Source organism: Homo sapiens, chromosome 2 (assembly GCF_000001405.40).
Source record: "Homo sapiens chromosome 2, GRCh38.p14 Primary Assembly".
NCBI lineage: Eukaryota > Metazoa > Chordata > Mammalia > Primates > Hominidae > Homo > Homo sapiens.
This window is the reverse complement of record NC_000002.12, coordinates 183205462-183226280: the sequence shown is the minus strand read 5'-3', so window position 1 is coordinate 183226280 and position 20819 is coordinate 183205462. Positions and strand designations below refer to the sequence as shown.

Sequence of the window (20819 nt, the reverse complement as noted above, 5' to 3'; positions counted from 1 at the left end):
GTTTTCATGGGGATGTCTTCAATAAACCTGCTACTTTTCTAATAGGTACTGATATGGTTTGGCTCTGTGTTCCCACCCAAGTCTCATCTTAAATTGTAATCATGTGTCAAGGGAAGGACCTGTAATCCCAACATATCAAGGGAAGGAGGTGTTTTGATCATGGAGGCGGTTTCTTCCATACTGTTCTCTTGATAGTAAGTGAGTTCTCACAAGACCTGATGGTTTTATAAGTGTTTGGTAGTTCCTCTCTTGTCCATTCTCTCTTCTGCTGCTCTGTGAAGAGGTGCCTGCTTCTTCTTCACCTTGCATCATGATTGTAAGTTTCCTGAGGCCTCTTAAGCCATGCAGAACTGTGAGTCAATTAAACCTCTTTTGTTTACAAATCACCCAGTCTTGGGTAGTATCTTTATAATGATTTGAGAATGAACTAATACAGGTACTTATTGATTATAGGCATTGAACTATCACATATTCCAATAAATAATCATGCATTCTACAAGCTTAGTGAGTATAGGGCAAGATAATGAGAAACAAGATGGGAAAGCTTTTAAGCAGAGAAGGAAATAAAAATGTGTAACTGTGAGGTGAGTATTTCAAAATCAGGCCAATATTTAAGATTAATTCCAACACAAATACAGTAAAATAATTTTTTAATCACAAAAAAGATCAAGTTCAATGTTTGTAATTAATAAAGACAACTACAACTATTGAAGGTGCCAATTTTTTAACTATAGCTAACATAATTGACCTATAAGAGTTATTTGAACAGTTTCTGACACTTTTTTAAAAATCTAATTTTATTAGCTGCTGCTGCCAAGGAAGGCACCAAGTTAAAATGAAAATGTCATACAAAGTGCCCTTCAGCATAAAATCACCAAAATGTTCCATGCTATTAACAAAAAGCACCTTGATTATTCACAGAGAACTTCATTTCAGTGCCTTTGACTGAAAAGGGGTTAACTTAGTGAACAGTGTCCTCCATTTATTGCATACTTTCTCTAAAGCCCTGGACATTTCCAGCTGACAAATACAGACACAGTTTTCATTTTCAGAAACAACATTAGTTTGCTGCACCATTGGGTGAAATCCAAGCATTTAGTCAGGCTTGTTTCCCTTGCTGCCTGGCTTAGCACATGTAATGAGAATTATGTCTTTCACTTCCATGCCAACTTGAATACATTAGAAGAAAGAATAACAGAGTCAGCACTATATCCAGATAGACATGCCCACAGAAAATAATCTAATGTGTCCTTACCCAGGTGGCATTCAACTTCTAAACACTGTAACTAATGGACCACAAAAAGCTAATGACAAACTACAGTTTTACATTAGCCTCAGAAAATTTCATAATTTAAACTATTAAACCCATTTGTCCTCTTTTTTTAACCCATTTGTTCTTTTAAGCAGAATAACCTTAAGATTGCCCAATAATATACTCAACTATTTTTTGCCATTTTGAAAATAAGTTATAAAAGTAACATAGAAAGAAGATTAGACTTTATTTGAAATGTTAAAAGGGTAAAATATCACAACAAACAGAATATAATTTTCTAAAGAACAGTTAGGATCATGAAAAGTAAATCTGGATACCCATAATTTTTCACTTAGTTTTATATATAAATTTTGGACTTCTTTTCAGTAAAGTGCTAGGATGTAGACTATATTATTTTGCATATGTTTTCTAATTTTAGTTTTATAGTCCTAAATGAAGTAGATACTTCATTATCTTAAAATAAGGATTTTAAAAACTGAGCCTTAGAGAAATTAAGTAACTTACATGGATGGTCTAGAATCCAAATTTTCTGCTGAGTTATTTAATCACTAGGCTGTATGACCTCCCTAGGAAGTTTTGTCCTTTACAAACAATGACCACATGCTTCTATCATTTTCATTCTATTATATTAATTTTATTTTATATTATTCTATTTCATTTGTTATAATTTTTCATTGTATTTGATTCCTAGTGCTTATACTCTCCAAAGATAAGATTTTTCTTATAGGAGTTAATATTGATAAACCCAAATTTACACCGTTTCTTGCATTTTGTTTTTCTGAGACAGAGTCTTGCTCTGTTGCCCAGTCTGGAGTGCAGTGGCATGATCTTGGCGCACTGCAACCTTCCCCTCCTGAGTTCAAGCGATTCCCCCACCTCAGCCTCCGAGTAGCTGGGATTACAGGCACGTGCCACCAAGCCCGGCTAATTTTTGCATTTTTTTTTAGTAGAGACGGGCCTTCGCCATGTTGGCCAGGCTGGTCTAGAACTCCTGACCTCACGTGATCCACTTGCCTCAGCCTCGTTGGCCAGGCTGGTCTAGAACTCCTGACCTCACGTGATCCATTTGCCTCAGCCTCCCAAAGTGCTGGGATTACAGGTGTGAGCCACCACACCTGGCCTCTTGCATTCTTGAGCTAACACAACTCTTGCTGTTAGATTAATATTCATTTATTAATTCAGCAATTTTTTTTTTTTTTGGCTACTGTGATAGATACTAGCTATCCCAATGGCCACTCACATGCCCCTTCCCCTTGGCTCACCTCTGCTTTAGAATTTAGATATTTTCAATATTCACTTTCCAGAATTCCTTTCCAGTAGGGGTGGCTATATGACACGGTTCTATTCAATGAGAGGTAAGTACCAGTCAGCTGAGGAGTTTAGAGAAACATCTCTGCTGCCTCATAGAAGTGATAAATATTGCTAGTACCACCCCTTACCTTCTCTTTCTGCTTCACTTGTAAACATAATGCCTGAAACTGAGGCAGCCATCTTATATCCATGAGTCAAAAACATAAGGACAAAGAACAACACACCAAAGCTGGCAGTGCGGATATAGAGAAAAAGTCTTGAGACTTTTCCTTAACCATGTGACAACTGACAACTGAGATTCTTCTAAAGTATCAGTGAAGATTATCTAGTTAAAGGCTCTCTTGGTTGTATTTTCTGTATCCCAGAATCAAAAACCAATTCTTTTTTTTTTTTAAATTATTATTACACTTTAAGTTTTAGGGTACATGTGCACAATGTGCAGTTTAGTTACATATGTATACATGTGCCATGCTGGTGTGCTGCACCCCTTAACTCGTCAATTCTAACTCACCCCGGTGCTGACCATATTCCAGAGGATACAGCAGACGTTCTCATGAAGCTCACATTCTGGAAAAGGCATTCGACAATAAACAAGTAAAGAACGTTAAGCACCATGGAGAACAATAAGTATTCAGGATAAGGAAGTAAAGAGTGACAAGAAGAGACTAAGTGAAGTTTCTCTAAGGAGGTGGCATTGAGCTGAATAAATACGGGACCAAAAAAACATGCTTTGGAGAAAATTATTGCAAGCTGAGGAAACAACATCTACAAAGGCTATGAGACAAAGAAATGCCTTACATATTTGAGGACACACAAATGGTCAGTATGTCTAAAGCCCAGTGAATTAGAAAGAACAAAACGTTGCCACAAAAGTAAGCAATTCAGTTAATATCCATGTAAATTTATTTGAAAGCCTTTTGTTTATCTGGAAGCATTAAACTTCTTAAATCGCCATTCACTTGACTTTTGGCAATTTGCTTCCCTGCACTAAAAGATTTTGTAGAACATTATTTTATCTCAAATATCATTTATCCATGACAACCTTGCAACAGTTTCAAACACACAAACATTCACCTGTTTTTAAGGACAATAATGATACCAAAAACTTTCTTCAAAGTTTGACTTTAGAGATGCAGGAGATGAATAATGATGCTGGCTGGTACCATAAAATCAGCTCTCTGAACAGAGGTCTGTCATTTTTCTCACACTTATTTCTCTAAGATACCATCGATACTAACCTACAGCACTTCTTCTTGGTTTTTCTTTTTAACTGAGTTAGCACCAAAGAAGAGAAAAAATTAAACAATTTCCTCACAGCATGTTCAGAAATTTTGACATCCACATTTAATGATGAACTATGGGATTCCTTCAAGCCACCATCTGTGAGCAGAGCTGCTTTAGGAGCAGCAGTGCAAAGATGTTGGATATTTCACTCCGTGAAGAGACAGCTGGTAGGATTAAAAAAAAGAGAGAGAGAGATGAACTAATCTAATCAATTAATCTGGTTTCCATATTCCTTTGTATTTGCATTATGGAAATAAGCTAAGGATGATTGCCTTTCACCTTGCCTCTAAGAGGGAAAAAATGATAGATTTGCAAAAGAATGTAACAGTCCTACAAATGGAATCGGAGGGAAACAATGTATCAAGTGGCGAGATGGGATTCTCTTTTAAGTATTCTCTTTTCATGCAGTTTGAAATTTTAATATTAATGTGCAGGTGATCAAATAAGTCTTCAGTAAAAGCATCATAAGGCTAAATGTTGAATCAGAGGATAAACGAAGACACATCCATAGAAATAAAAAATATCATATTATGTTTTCCCTTACATTGGATTGAAATATTTATGAAAGTTTCATTCCATCGTAGGAGAAAGTTTTTCTTTACAGAGGAATTTCAACTAATAAATGTTAAAGGAATTGTAATATTAGAATATGACCATTTTGCAACCCAAATGAAAGCATTGATTCAAGCAATAACCATCAATATATAAAACCATTAGGTAACAGGTCGATGGCAAACTTTTCAGTGGGAGGCATCAGGCTGTCACCACCAGAAATCACTGATCAATTTGTGTTACAACTAGTGGGGCCACCTGGCATAGTACCTCCCAATGTGATGAATAGAAAGCATGTATACCCACCTAAGCAATATTCTGACCAAGAAGTTGAATCTGAATCTAATCAAACTCCCAGAACTTTCATTTACAGGAAATAGGTGGAAAGGAGGAACAATTATAACATCGAAAGAAAGCAGATGGGGCACAGTGGCTCAACCCTGTAATTCCAGCACTTTGGGAGGCCGAGGAAGATGGATTACCTGAGGTCAGGAGTTCGAGACCAGCCTGACCAACATGGTGTAAACCCCGTCTCTACTAAAAATACAAAAAATTAGCCAGGCATGGTGGCACGCACCTGTAAACCCAGTTACTTGGGAGGCTGAGGCAAGAGAATCGCTTGAACCCGGAAGGCGGAGGTTACGGTGAGCGGAGATCTTGCCATTGCACTCCAGCCTGGGTGACAGAGCAAGACTCTGTCAAAAAAAAAAAAAAAAAAAAAAAAAAAAAGCGCCAAATCCAGAGCATGAGCATTTTATAGAACATCTATAGCAAGTCAATAGCCTGGAGAAAAAGCTAACAAGAAGAGTGCTTTACGTGAAAAGAGACTTCCGAGGTATGACCCCTCCAAACATGTCAACTTCTTTGAATCCTTATTCTGAAAAATCATTTCTAAGAGACTTTTTAAAATTAGGGAAGGGTAATTCTGAGCTGTGTATAAGGTGATAGCAAATAATTATTTTTAATGTTCATTGTGCTAGTAGCACTGTGGGAAAATAGTTTTGGGTTTTTTTTCCCCTTTAGAAAGGCATACTGAAGTTACAGGGAAGAATTGATATTAGGTTTGGAATTTGCCTTAAACTAAATCAGCAAAGAAGTAGGGGGTAGATGCAGCAAACACAGCAAAATCCTCATAATCGAGTGATGGGTATAGCTTATTGAATTATTTGTCCTATTTTTTCCTATTTGAAAGTTTTCATAATGATTTTTAATGCTTATTAATCAGAGCTTCATTAGGTACTTTGTATGAAAATGTCTTTCTAGGACAAATGATATTAGCAAAAGGCAATTAAAAAGAAAATATATGGCTGTTGAAAATGCAGTAATAAATACAAGCTGTCCTGTATCCATGGCGCACCACAGGTAAAAAGCCATTTGCATTTATATATGACATCTTTTCATTAACTATGTATGAAATGCATCTATTATCAATCCTGCTTAATAAAAGAAATAAAACATTAAAAAAATTAAAGAAGGGCTCAGAACTGATCCTCAGTTCATATCATTTTTAAGAAAAAAAGTCATATCATCGCATTAACATGCAAATAAGTTTTACCCATTTAGAATTTCTTACAGAGCCATATAGCCAACTATCTACAGACTTCCACAAATTTAAACATCAGTCCTTTTTTTATAGCTCTGGAATTTTGTCCGTTTAAAAGGGATCGTTGTAAATCATTGCAGTCTTTTTAGAGAGAAATCTGGCAGTGTATGGCAAAATATTAAAATATTCAAATGTTTACATTTTGAAATCCTATTCCTGGCTCTACATCCCAAGAGGAAATTGTTCAAAAGAATTTTAAAAATAGCTGCGTCATAGCCAAGTATTTATGATAGCAAAACTTGGAAATAATGTCTAACCATTAGAAATACTTAAGTGAACCAACTCATTGAAATACTATGGAAAATATGAAGATTATATAGATATATACAGTAGTGTATATTCATACTATTAAGTTGATGGAAAGTATAACTGTAAATTCACTATGTTTAAAGTGATGTTGTTCTAACACCATTTTAGCTGTGACTGAATATGCGAAGGTCGTGCTATGCAACACTGTAGCTTAGTTTCCTTCAGAGGTTTATCATCAAATTTTATCAAAAGCAATAGATAAATATTAGCTCTTATTCTGATTACTATCATTATTTATCTTATTAGAAGGGCTCAAAAAGAAATGTAAAGAATAGTATGTTTGAGACAAAGGAAAAATAGGTATCACTTTTGTAAAGATTTTTTTTAAAATCCTATATTGTTTAAAATTTAAACTCAAAGGTTAAAGCTGAATCATACACTTCTCAAATTTAGGATGACTTCCTTCTCTAGATGTATTTGATTTACCTAGGCAGTGTCTGTGTCTGACACTTCTGCCAATCAAAATCTGGTAATTAAATTTAACAGTACAGTTAATGTGATAAATTATAGTCAAAGATTTTCTGTTAACCCATTCCTATATTTCTGGGGGAAATAATTGTCTATGATTTATTTATATATTGCTTTATTTTTGCCAATATTAAATTTATATATTTGTCTTCGTGTTCATGAAGTGTGTTATCCTGCAACATTTCTTTCTCATATATTTCTTTTCAATTTTTTTAATGTTTATTTTTTGTAGAGATGAAGTCTCACTTTTTTGCCCAAGCTGGCCTCAAATCCTCTTGCCTTGGCCTCCCAGAGTTCTAGGATGACAGGTCTGAGCCACTGTACCCAGGTCTTTTCATTGTTTTTAATCAAGGTATATTAGCATCATAAAGTGACCTAGAGAGCATTAAATTTTGAAAAGTTTAGAAAAGTTTCCATAAAGATCATTTGTACTTTTTTCTTTTTTTCCAGTTTTATGATTATTAGTTTTTTGAAGGATTGTTATAACTCATCTGTAAAACCATCTGGGCCTGGATGAGTGTATGTGTGTGTGTATATCATAGTGTGTGTGTGTATATAGTATGGTGTGTGTATTTCATAGTATGTATGTCTGTGTTGTGTAGACTTTTAACTACTGATTCAGTTTCTTTTTACATATTTGTACTTATATATTTATACTATAGTTAGATTTTCTATATCTTCATAAACCAATTTGCTAGAAAAGTGTCCATGTTTTCTAACTAGTTTACCAGCATATATTTGTTTATGCTATTCTCTTATGATGTTTAAATCTCTGTCGTATCTGTAGTTCTACCCACTTTTGTTCCTAATATTAATTATACATGGCTTATCGTTATCATTCTTGTCAAAGACTGTCTATTTAATTCATCTTTTAATATAATCAGCTTTTGGCTTTTTGAAGTTCTCTATAATTTGTTTTCTAATTCACCAATTCTGCTCTTTTCTTTACCGTTTCCTTCTTTCACTCCTTTATGTTTGCTCCATTGTTCTAACTTAAGTTGAATACTTGGCTTATTAATTAGTCTTTTTTTTCTATGATAAGCAGTTAAGATATAAGATTGAAAATAGCTTCAAGGCAAAACTTGTTACTGATTAAATATGTGTTCAATTATAGAAAACAAAGATTTATGGTTAATAATTTAAAATGGAGAAATAATAGAAGAATATCAACCATCTAAATTATTTCATAAATATTAGTGAATTGGTGTGATAAATAATGTTAAGTTAGCAAAGTCAGGTGATGTTGCTAACTTGTTCCTCTTGTTAAATAAAGCTCATGAGAAGTGGCAGATAGAAAAGGAGAGTCGAAAATTTGACAGCTATATTGCAAAAGAACTCAACTTAGATAAAAGTCAGGTAAGAAACAATAACAAAATTGCCAAGACTTCTAATTTACAGTGATGGCTTCTCAAACTGCAGGATATTCCACACAGGGCTTCGTTAGTACTCATTAAGTGTCTCAAGCACACCTCTCCCTTGCTTAAATGACTTTCATTAGTACCTGAAAACCCTACCATTAAGTAAAGAGATTTTAAATGAAAAAAAAAAGTTTTCATTAAATTTAATGGAAAAATTATGATATGTTTCATCTCAACACAAGATACCCAAACAATTTTCACAGCTAGAAAAATATATCAATTGAATAAAAATCTGTTTTTATTAGTAATAAACAGCAATTTGGGAGTAAACAAATACAGCTTATATATAAATGGCAATGTTGTACTTCCTTTATTTTCCTTATTTCTGAAACATTTTTTTCACTAATATTTCAAACTTGGGGGGCTCATGATTATTTTGCACTTAAAGTAAAATTATCCCAGAAAAACACCTTTGGGTAAAATACAGATTAAGTATATAGAGGCATAACAGACAGAAGACTCCCAGAAGATACTGCATCTTCATCTCTTGCTTAGAGATGAAGAGAATAGCAGGCAGAAGTACTTTAGGGTATGTACAGAGAGCAAAATGCTTTGGATTCATCCATACATGGAAGGCAATTCAAATGCGATGCATATATTTGGATCTGACTAAAAATTGTTATGTCAAGTAAATTGTCAAATGTGTCATTGCCTGAAATCACAATGTTGAAATGCCCATTTTTATATTATGTTTTTTGGTGGAAAGGTTGTTAGACAATTTTTCAAGTCATTGTCCAAAATATTAGCATTTTGCCAGAGTCATTCTAGCAAAAAGTTGTTCACTGAAGAGTCATTATAGAGGGTAAGTCTGAAGAAAGTTACAAATGGGAAACAGATTATTTACTCAATAAGAATGTATTCAATGCTTACTTGAAACAAGTTGGACTGCTCGTGTAATCTAACCCTTAGGATTATTTAACTACCTAGTTTATCTTTTATTGCGATTTTGCTAAAGGAAATGCCATAGGCTTAACTGCTTTAACCTGAACTATGGCTTTTCTTTGGGAGATTTCTGCAAAACAAAAGGTATATCATTTTGCTACAATTTAGCCTCACTTTTTAGAACAGAGTAACAGCAACTAACACTATTAACCATACAATATCGAGATAAATCTCATATATTGAAAAATTATTGCTACAAACCAAGAGAGTCTCTCTAAAATAAAATTATATTCATTCAGGAATAGGACATTGCTAAGGGAATATGAATGTCATAGTAAACTATGTGTATACTGACAGAGATAAAATAATTTTTTAAAGGAAAAATGAGGGGATTACACAATTGTTTTGAGATAATTTTCTTTGGCTACGAGGATCAATAACAAGGGTGACAGTAGCCCAGGCAGTTGAACCAGCAGTTGCTGGGCAGATGTCCTTACAGAAGTATTTTTTCTTGCAAGAACTCAGTCACTGTTATGGAGACAGCACCAAGCCATGAAGGGTCTGCTCCCAGGACCCAAACACCTCCCACCAGACCCCACCTCCCGCACTGGGGATTACAATTCAACATAAGATTTGGATGGGGACAAAGAACCAAACTATATCACATTCTAAAATAACGGTTCTGGCAGCTGTATAATGAGAGCAAAATAGAGAGAACGAGCATGGATGCAGAAAGAGCCTTCAGAAGATTAGAAAGTGGCCCTGCGAGTGCTAATAAATGGCTGCAAAGAGTAGTTCCTACAGCAATCTATAATAATAGCTGTTGTGTAGGAACCATTTTTTGAAACCCGGAAGTCAATCACTAGGTTAAGAGAGCAGATGCTGAAATTTCTTCACAAATCAACTCAAGTCCTCAGACTGATGCCTGAAATTCACTAAACTAAGAGACTATGATATATGGTCATTCAGGCATAAATGGAGATAACCCAGGCAAAAACAAGAAAGAACAATCCAAGGAAATGATGAAATTATAGCACTTGGTGACAGGACTACAGGACATGAGAAGGAATTATGAACTATAACTCTGAAATGGTCACAGGACTCAGAACAGAGGCCACATAGCTACTAAGCAGCACGTGTCCATTTGGAGGTCTAGATTGTACTTGTTTGAGTTTCCTTATCTGTAAAATGGTCAAAAACAAAAGTTTCCACCTCATGATATTGTGAAGATTAAGTGAGCTAAGAAATATAAGCACTTAGAATAGTGCCTCAAAAATAGTAGGTGGCTCAGAACATATACAAACTTTGTTTAAATAAATTTAAGTGAAATGTCAGGTACTTCCCACATTTTGTTTTGTCTTCCAATTATAGCAATTCCATATGGCAAGCTAGAAAAACTGAAGTTAATATTTACAATGTCTTTTCAATATAAATACTGTTGACAGATGATTTAGCTGCCCCATTTTCTTAACTTTTATTTTTCATCAGTTATTTTATATACACTCAGTTACCTCCTTTAGAAATCTTATCTATTTTGTGGCTCCCTATTGAGTTTAATAAGATATTTACTCTTAATAATGTAATAACTCTAGGTAAAACAGTATGAATAGTTGAAATTTATTTTCTAAGTTAATACTATATTTAAATCTCTAAATAGAGCTCCTTTGCAAGACTAAGGTCAAGTTACAAAATAATCACCTTTGAGATGATGAGTAAAGATATGTAGACCTGAGAGAAAAGGAAACAGCATTCTTACACTCAAAACATTTGGGAAAAATGATAAAAAGAAGCATTTTTATTTGAAGTATGATTCATACTACTCTTCCAGCGATTGCAAATACAATAGAAGTATTTCATTACATTTCAATACCAAAATTATAAATCAAATAGCTATTTGGAGCCATAAGTATTTACCATATATAATCAATTTTTCAGTCACAAGTGCTGGTAGACATCAATGTTAACATTTTTATTCTCTTCCTTTTAAAAATGGCTACATGATGAATATAGTTATCACAAAGAGATTAAGGGATTGAAAACCTTTGAATTGTTACTAAATCCTGAATCCTGTTCTGAACTTGAATTTGCTTTTATGGAAATTTAAAGCACTAGCAGTTTGAGCCCAGTCTCCTTTTTATATAAATGCCATTTATTTCTTGAAACTTGCTTTTAATAATTGCCTAAGTCATTTAAATGCAAGCCGACTTCTTAGCAGGTGCTGAAACTGTGTACCAGGACTGAGGGTAAAATTAAATGACTCATTTCCATTATGATCAAAGCTGAAAACCTTTTCTTGTTATTATGTTGTGAATTCCACCAAATAACTACATAGTCATTTATTGAATTTTTCTTCTTTCAGACATTCACATTCCAAGCTATTGTATAGTAAGTGAACTGGTAACTTTTTTCAATATACTTCAAAATTTTACTGTAAAATGCCCTGCAGCGAAGACAATACTAGCTATTACCTAGCAGTGGGGTGAGCTAGTTTACCCTTTCTAGAGTTTGACATTTAAACAAAGTCCAGAAACATAAATTAAGAACATCTTAAATGATACTATAGATTAATATTCAGCAAAGAACACATTTGCCATTAACTAATTTTGTAAAAAAGTCTGCTTGCAAGAAAAAAATTAACCATCTTTCCTAAACAAGGTATTCTCTTGTGAGTAACCTTCAAATATAATTCCCAAGGTCACAAAGCATCTTTGCTCTTTTTTTGCAAATATAACAGTTTCTATTCCTCTACTTACATCATTCTAATGAAAGAAAAACAGAAACTCTACAACCACAAAAGTAAAACCATGCAATTGCTAAATGGCAAGTGTCAAAGGTCAAGAACAAAATATCTGTAATAAACTCTAAGAATTCTGGTAATTGTTTGCAAAAATATCTACGAAAGATTGATGTGACTATATGATAGTGGTTTGTTAAAGTGAATTTTCTAATCTCCTTTAAAATCTTTCTCAAGATCAGCCTGGTTTTAGATGAAGAAGTATTTTAAGTTATCAAAAACCAGTAAAAACATATTCTTCATATGCTTGGCAAATTGCATTTCTGGTTTCTGGTCCTGAAAAAGAAGACAGCAAGACATCAATCAATTGATATGACAACCCACAGACTCTGTTAAGAGATGAATTAGGGCAGTGTTACGTGCAATACTGACTATTAAAAACAATACAAGCATCCTGGCTGACACAGTGAAAACCCATCTCTACTAAAAATACAAAAAATTAGCCAGGCGTGGTGGCGGGCGCCTGTAGTCCCAGCTACTCGGGAGGCTGAGGCAGGAGAATGGCATGAACCTGGGAGGTGGAGCTTGAAGTGAGCCGAGATTACGCCACTGCACTCCAGCCTGAGAGACAGAGCGAGACTCCGTCTCAAAAAACAAAACAAAACAAAACAAACAAACAAAAAACGACATGAGATCATAGTATAATTTTTGCAGGTAGCTTTCACTTTCTTCTTTTACTTTCTATATTCAATCTGTTGCCATGGGCTATCATTCTTCCATCCTCTCCCTTCCTTCTCTTATTCTTTCTTCTTCTTTCCCAGGTTTTCATTATGTTATGCCTGAGTAATTACGGTATTCTCTTAGCTCAGTGGATCTCAGCTATCATTCTGAGTATCTGTGCAGCTATATCACAGAGTTACAGGTAGAGGAGAAAGTGAGAAAACAGAGGCAATGTGGTAGGTCTCTAAGAACATCAAGTTTATTCATCTTAGTGTTGTGTCCTTTACTCTGGGAGTATGTCCTTCCTGCTGATTTGATGTTAAAATTTCATTCCTGTATGAAACAGTGAAGATAGTATGTGGTAATTTACTGTTTATATTTTGTTGTTGGGGTTTTTAAAATATTCTTTCCTTCAAGATAAATAATTGATAACCATATGTTAGTCCTTAAGAATTTTCTAGGAGCTTTATTGGCTTATGAAATTCAAAATTCTACAAAACAGTATAGCTGATCTCCCTGAGTCTAGTTGCTTCCAAATTCACCATTTGTTAAGGTTGTAGGATGCTCTGCCTAAAACCCAGGATTAGGCCAATCTATTAACATTCAAGAAATTTTAATACCTCTTTGTTGCATTCAACATGTATTTCAACACCCACTGCAGCCACTACAATCTAGCTTTATTGTACATAGGTGTTCACCTGCTCTGGTCAGGCAAGTGTCCTCACTGTCTCCCATACATATTATCCTTCTTTCAGCTCCAGGCTTTTGATCACATTCTTAACCCTTCGGAGAAAGAAAAGATCACTCTTTCTCAAATTTAAATACACTATTCCAAAATAAGTGGTTGTTCATCCTGTTTGCTTGTTCTAGATCTCTACGAGAATCAAATTTCCTGAATTCATTTTCTTGGTAAGTAAGCCAGTTAATCTTCTTCTTATTACTGTCTTCACTATTTCCAGTAGCCTGTGCACCTTCTCAAGGAGACCACCTTTGAGAAGAATTTGTACTAATATAAATTGAACTACGAAAGGTAAAGCCTGGTTTTTTTAAATCTGAGTAGTCATGTTTCCATTACTTTCATTTCAAAAGCTAGCTAGAAAACTAAGATTTTTGCTTATCGCATACATTATCCCATACATATCAGTCTTACAAATACAGCAGTGTTTTGCAGGTTCATAGGTATTAATAAATGAGCCAGAGATGCCCAAAAAATTTTGTTATGAATATGTTGAATATGTTAGGACTAACTGAAGCTTAAATCAACAGACTGTGGCTATATTTAAGGTAACAATCATATTCAATTATTTCTCTCACTATTTTAACTCAAACTCCTTTAACTTCTTCCCATTGCAAAAGAGTATTAAACACTCATCTCTGTATTAAAGACAACACAACTGTGGTATGAAATAGTATCTATTAAAGTATATGGTGGTTCCTTATTGCCAACCTAAACTCATTTAATGCAAAAACTTATTAAATATACAACATTTTGATAAGCATCAAAATTGCTTAAAATTGTTGGAAATGTATAATCCTATAATGTTTGAAGAAAAATGTCAATTAGAACAATAAACCTACTTTGAAGAATCACTATATCGTGTTGTCACTTTTGTACACATACTACATCCAAGTGGCTGGGGCATAGTAGAAACTGCTCTACGTTTAGAGTCAGAAAACACACACACACACACACACACACACACACACACACACACACACACACACACCCTGTGGCAGGATGAATGTGGCAATTTGTCTCTTTTGAGTTTCAGTTTCTTAAATCTGTAAATAGGGGGAAATCAAATACCCTTCAAAAGTTGTTTGATCCTGTCTACAGATATCGTGATGAAAAAAAAAAGACAAAACTTGTTTGAGAATTAAGTGAGGAAATGCCTATGAAAAAAATTTGCAATATTGTTGTGTCACTACAGGGAAGTCTCAATTAAACAATGCTTCATTAAATTTGTGCTCAAATACTGTGACTATAAGCCAAAAAAACAAAAGAGGCAAGCTGCCTGCAGTCAGTATCTCTACTGAAAAAAAAAGTGAACGTGAAAGAAGACACCTTTTACATCTTTAAAACTTGCAACCAATGGTAATATTTCAAGTGACACAAAAATATTTTTATTGTGCAAGTTTCTATTTACTGCTAATTTTAAAATATTATTTCTTATTCCACCCAGTTTAACTGACAGGTTCAACTTTCTCTTTGGCTAATACAAAATTAACGGCTCAACAAATAATCATGCACTGTATTATCACATAAAATTAAAGAGATTTATGCAGAAAATAAAAAATCTAAATTATATGTGATTTTTATAAAAAGTCTCTTTGCATGAGCCATTTCAGTAGATTAAAGAGGTCAAAAGTCAATTTGCAGTAGGCTGAAGAGTGGATAAAGAGGTGAGGAAGTGCAAATGGCAATTATATGCTTTTCTTTTAAGATGTTCCCCAATGAGATACCATCTCATGCCAGTTAGAATGGCGATCATTAAAAAGTCAGGGGCCGGGCGCGGTGGCTCACGCCTGTAATCCCAGCACTTTGGGAGGCCGAGGCGGGCGGATCACGAGGTCAGGAGATCGAGACCATCCCGGCTAAAACGGTGAAACCCCGTCTCTACTAAAAATACAAAAAAATTAGCCGGGCGTAGTGGCGGGCGCCTGTAGTCCCAGCTACTTGGGAGGCTGAGGCAGGAGAATGGCGTGAACCCGGGAGGCGGAGCTTGCAGTGAGCCGAGATCCCGCCACTGTACTCCAGCCTGGGCGACAGAGCGAGACTCCGTCTCAAAAAAAAAAAAAAAAAAAAAAAAAGTCAGGAAACAATAGGTGCTGGAGAGGATGTGGAGAAATAGGAACACTTTTACACTGTTGGTGGGACTGTAAACTAGTTCAACCATTGTGGAAGTCAGTGTGGCAATTCCTCAAGGATCTAGAACTAGAAATACCATTTGACCCAGCCATCCCATTACTGCGCATATACCCAAAGGATTATAAATCATGCTGCCATAAAGGCACATGCGTATGTCTATTGCTGCACTATTCACAATAGCAAAGACTTGGAACCAACCCAAATGTCCATCAATGATAGACTGGATTAAGAAAATGTGGCACATATACACCATGGAATACTATGCAGCCATAAAAAAGGATGAGTTCACGTCCTTTGTAGGGACATGGATGAAGCTGGAAACCATCATTCTCAGCAAACTATCGCAAGGACAAAAAACCAAGCACCGCATGTTCTCACTCATAGGTGGGAATTGAACAATGAGAACACATGGACACAGGAAGGGGAACATCAAACACTGGGGCCTGTTGTGCGGTGGAGGGAGGGATAGCATTAGGAGATATACCTAATGTAAATGACGAGTTAATGGGTGCAGCACACCAACATGGCACATGTATACATATGTAACAAACCTGCAAGTTGTGCACATGTACCCTAGAACTTAAAGTATAATTGAAAAAAAAGGATGGAGGAAGCTGTGATGGAATCTACAGGGAGGCAAGGAGATAAGAGGGAGGGAAAGGAAGGAAGGAGTAAAGAGGTTCTTCAGTTCAAAGTGAGCAGGGAAAAGGGAGCAGAGAAATTTGTGGGATCAGAGTTCAGATTTCTGTCAGACAATGACAACAATAAGAGCCTCACTGTTGCTACAGCCCACACTTATGACTTTTTTTTCTTTAATTGCTTGCCATTTGAAAGAAACTGTCTATTTTTTCACATTGCATAATTTACCAAAATCACAAATGACCCACAAAATGCCAAATTAAAGGAACACTTTCCAATCTATATTTTGCAATGAGGCATTTGACATCTTCATCTTCTTGAATCTTCTTTCTCCATTCTTTTTAAATCTTCTTGAAAGTCTCCTTTTCCTCAGAGAGCAGCAGCCTCAGCTCCCAGTTCCTGGTTCCTAATTCCTGATGCATGCCTGCTCTCAGATTTCATGCCCTGCCTTTTATACCCTGCTCCTTTGACCAAAAAAAAAAAAAAAAATAGTACCTTTCCAGTGCAGAAACCTGGCAGACAGCACCTTAACCAAGCGATCAGAGTTAATGTCACCTGTATGAGGACACATCCACATGATGAAATACTCAGGACACAGCATCACTCCATGGGGGTCCTGCCAAGAATGCAGAACCTCCAACTAATCCTGAGAAACCATCAGGGAAACCCAAAAGGAGAGATGTGCCACAAAGCCACTGGCCTGAGTTCTTCCAAAGCATCACAGTAATGACAGACAGAAAAAGACTGGGGACCATCCCAGACTGGGGAAGACAAACAAGACATGACACCTAAATGTGAGTAAGATCTAGACAAGGAAAAAACACGAGTGGAGCAACTGGTGAGATTTTAGTGCAGTCTATTAATAGGACAGGATCATTGTTAATTTCCAGGTTTTAATCATCGGCCCGTGGTTTTGTGGAAGCTGGGTGAGGGGTATATATTGGAAACTACTGTGCTGTTTTTGCAACTTTTCAAAAATCTAAAATTACTTCTAAATAAAACAAGAGTCCCCTTCTTGTTTCAAAAAAAAATAAAATAAAATAAAAAATAAAGTCTTCTTTTCCTAAGACTCTCCTTGAATCCTTAGGATAGACTTGGTTATGGTGTGGTAACAAATAGGTCAGTGGCCTAACCCAACAAAAGTGTATGTCTCACCCACACTACAAGACCAAGACAGGTCTTGAGGAGTTTCACTATTGATAATCACTAAGGAAAACAGGTTGACAGAGGCTCCATGTCAACATGTTACAGAATGGGGTCCCGATCCAGACCTCAAGAGAGGGTTCTTAAATCTCGTGCAAGAAAGAATTCAGAGCAAGTCCATAAAGTGAAAGCAAGCTTATTAAGAAAGTAAAGGAATAAAGAATAGCTACTCCATAAAACAACCCTGAGGGCTACTGGTTACCCGTTTTTATAGTTATTTCTTGATGATATGCCAAATAAGGGGTGGATTATTCATGCCTCTTCTTTTTAGACCATATGGGGTAACTTCCTGACATTGCCATGGCATTTGAACTGTCATGGCGCTGATGGGAAGTAGCAGTGAGGATGACCAGAGGTCACTCTCATCACCATCTTGGTTTTGGTGGGTTTTGGCTGGCTTCTTTACTGCAAACTGTTTTATCAGCAAGGTCTTTATGATCAGTATCTTGTGCCGACCTCCTATCTCATCCTGTGACTTAGAATGCCCTAACCATCTGGGAATGCAGCCCAGTAGGTCTCAGCCTCATTTTATCCAGTCCCCATTCAAGATGGAGTTGCTCTGGTTCCAATGCCTCTGACAAATGCATTTCAAATCATCAAGCCAAGGAGAAGGGAACCGGCTGACTGGTGTATTGCCTGTGCCGAGAAGTTACACACATCATTTCTGGTAACATTCCATTGGCCAAAGCTAGCAATGTGGTTATAACTTCACGGTGACCAGAGAAATGCAATCCTATCCCATGCCCAAAAGGAAAAGAACAAAAATACTTTTAACTGCCTCTGTAACTACATCCTCTCCTTCTCACTGCAAATATTTCTCAAAATTTGATTCTGGACCTCCTATTTCCATTGTGTATATTCTTCCTGAGTGACTTCATTCACTTCCTATATGACAATGACAACCAAATATACGTCTTGCCCAAACCTCTCCCATAAACTCTATAGACAAATATATCTCTACTTAGGTATCCCCAAAGCATCTTTAACTTACCACCCTTTCCCATTTCCTGTAATGAACTGTTTGCTTTTTCTTCCTATTAAACTATAACTTTCTTTAGATCATAACTGTGTTTTATTTATGTTTGTATCCTCAGTACCAAGCAAAATGCCTGTAATCTAAAAAGCATTCAAGAAAAAATATTTATTGAGTGAATGAATGAATGATGGCCATATTTATGGTGTTTGCATATATTCTTCAAAAGCCTCAGATGGATCATACAAGCCTTAGGATTCAGTGCCTTAAACTGAATGAGTGCCTGCTATTGAGGGATGTGCTTTGAAAGTGAGGTGCTGGGAATGAGGAAATCAGTCAACAAACATATATTGAGCACCTACTATCTGCCATGCACGATTTTAGGCAAGTTTTTGTTTATATCAATAAACAAAGTAACAAAAATTCCTGCGATTTGGGAGAAGAAAACAGTAAAAAATAAGCATTATATAATATAAACATTAAAAAGGAAATTATATGTTAGTGTGAATTAAAGCATGACAAATGGCATGAGGGGTCCCAAAGCAAGAGATAGCAGTGCGATTTTAAATATAATAGAGTGATCAGAGTATATACATCATTGGAACAGTAACATTTAAGCTGATTTGAAAGAAATGAGGAAGTTAGCTGTGTGGCTATCTGGGATTTTGGTTGGCAGGAACCACAAGTACAACAGTTCTAAAGTGGGAGCATTCCTGGGATGTTTGAGGAAGATCAAAGAGAAGAGGGTGGCTGAAGCTGAGTGAGAGAGAAAGGAGGAGCTGAGGTCAGTGAGGGAACAGTGAGAGAAGGGGCCAGATCTTGAAGGCCATTAAAGACTTTGGATTTTGCTCTGAGGGAAATGGACAGCCATAGGACAGTTGTGAGAAGTCCATGATCTGACTTTTTCTCTTTGATGAAAAAAACTGGACAAAATGATCTGACATATTTTTAAAACATGGTTTGGTTGCTGTTATGAGAATAGATTAAAACAGGTTGTATTAATTACCTATTCCCACATAACCAAAATTTTCAAAAATATAGCAGCTTAAAACAATATATATTTGTTGTTAATTCCTGTAGGTCAGGAATTTGGAAGCAGCTAAACTGGGTCATCGTGGCTCAGTCTCTCAGAAGGTTCACATGTCAACTGCGGCTACAGTCTCCTCCAGGCTGAAATGAGGCCACAGGACTCATTTCTGAAATGGCTGACCCATGTAGCTGTGGGCAAGAGGCTTCAGTTCTTTGCTGTATGTTCTCTCCATTGAATTGCTTGAGTGTCCTCAAAGCATGGCAGCTAGTTTCCCACAGAGCAAGAGATCCAAAAGAAAGAAGTCACACTATCTTTGCAACCTGGTCCTCAGAAGACATAACACTCTCATTTTGCCTTATTCTGTTTGTCGGAAGCAAGTCTTTCTATTCCCCCCAACCCCAGCTTTTTCCCCAATTTTCTTCTTTCCTGAGCTTCATTTCTGAGAGAAGTGCTTAAAAAGTGATAGTCAATTTTGTCTTTTTTTTTTAAGAGTTGGTGTCTCGCTAGATTGTCTAGGCTGGAGTGCAGTGACTATTCACAGGCATGATCATAGTGCACTACAGCCTTGAACTCCTGGGCTGAAGGGATCCTCTTGCCTCAGCCTCCTGAGTAGCTGAAACTACAGGCATGCATAACCAAATGATTGCTATTTCTACTCAATCTATTTTTATCACAATTTTGACTTGTATTCACCCTCAATTATTTAAAGAATTAAAAAGTAAATGTAATTGTCTTCAAAGTGTTCAAATGTGGATATATTTGCACCAAAAATATAAATTAAGTGCTAAAAAACTGAAAAATTAAATTATTCCTCATTGTATTAGGCTTCTCTAGAGGGACAGGACTAATAGGATAAGTGTATACATGAAGGAGAGTTTATGAAAGAGTATTGACTCACACGATCAGAAGGTAAAGTCCCACTACAGACCATCTGCAAGCTGAGGAGCAAGGAAGGCAGTCCCAAAATCCCAAAAGTAGGGAAACAGACAGTGCAACTTTCTGTCTGTGGCCGAAGGCCTCAGAGTCCCAGGCAGATCACTAGTGTAAGTCCAAGAGTCCAAAACCTGAAGAACTTGGAGCCTGACATTTGAGGGCAGGAAGCATCCAGCATGGGAGAAAGATGAAGGCCAAAAGACTCAGCAAGTCTAGTCCTTCCAACTTCTTCTGCCTGCTTTATTATAGCCCGCTGGCAGCTGATTAGATGGTGCCCACTCAGATTGAGGGTGGGTCTGCCTCTCCCAGTCCACTGACTCAAATGTTAATCTCCTTTGGCAACACCCTCACAGACACACCCAGGAACAATACTTTGCATCCTTCAATCCAACCAAGTTGACACTCAATATTAACCATTTGGCTCATATTTTCAAATAGTTTATTTCTCTCTTAAAATATTCAAAACTATTTCTTAAAATTAAAAGGTACACATATTAACAGAATCGATTTTTAAATCACAGTTATTTAAAATTAATTTTTTGCCTAACTTTTTGAAAATTTAATTAATATTATTAAATACTTAGAAAAATAGCAGTGCCTGTAATCCCAGAACTACTT

The 20819-nt window shown here is 36.0% G+C and overlaps 1 long non-coding RNA gene across 1 annotated transcript in view; it reads right to left on the bottom strand.

The window, feature by feature from the left end:
- Positions 1 to 10866: 10866 nt before the first annotated feature.
- The window catches only part of LOC124906103 (uncharacterized), a 41076-nt gene continuing 31123 nt past the window's right edge, over positions 10867 to 20819 (bottom strand). Inside the window, exon 2 of the long non-coding RNA XR_007087332.1 lies at positions 10867 to 20819. This exon is cut by the window's right edge and continues 26236 nt beyond it. This is a non-coding gene — a long non-coding RNA (uncharacterized LOC124906103).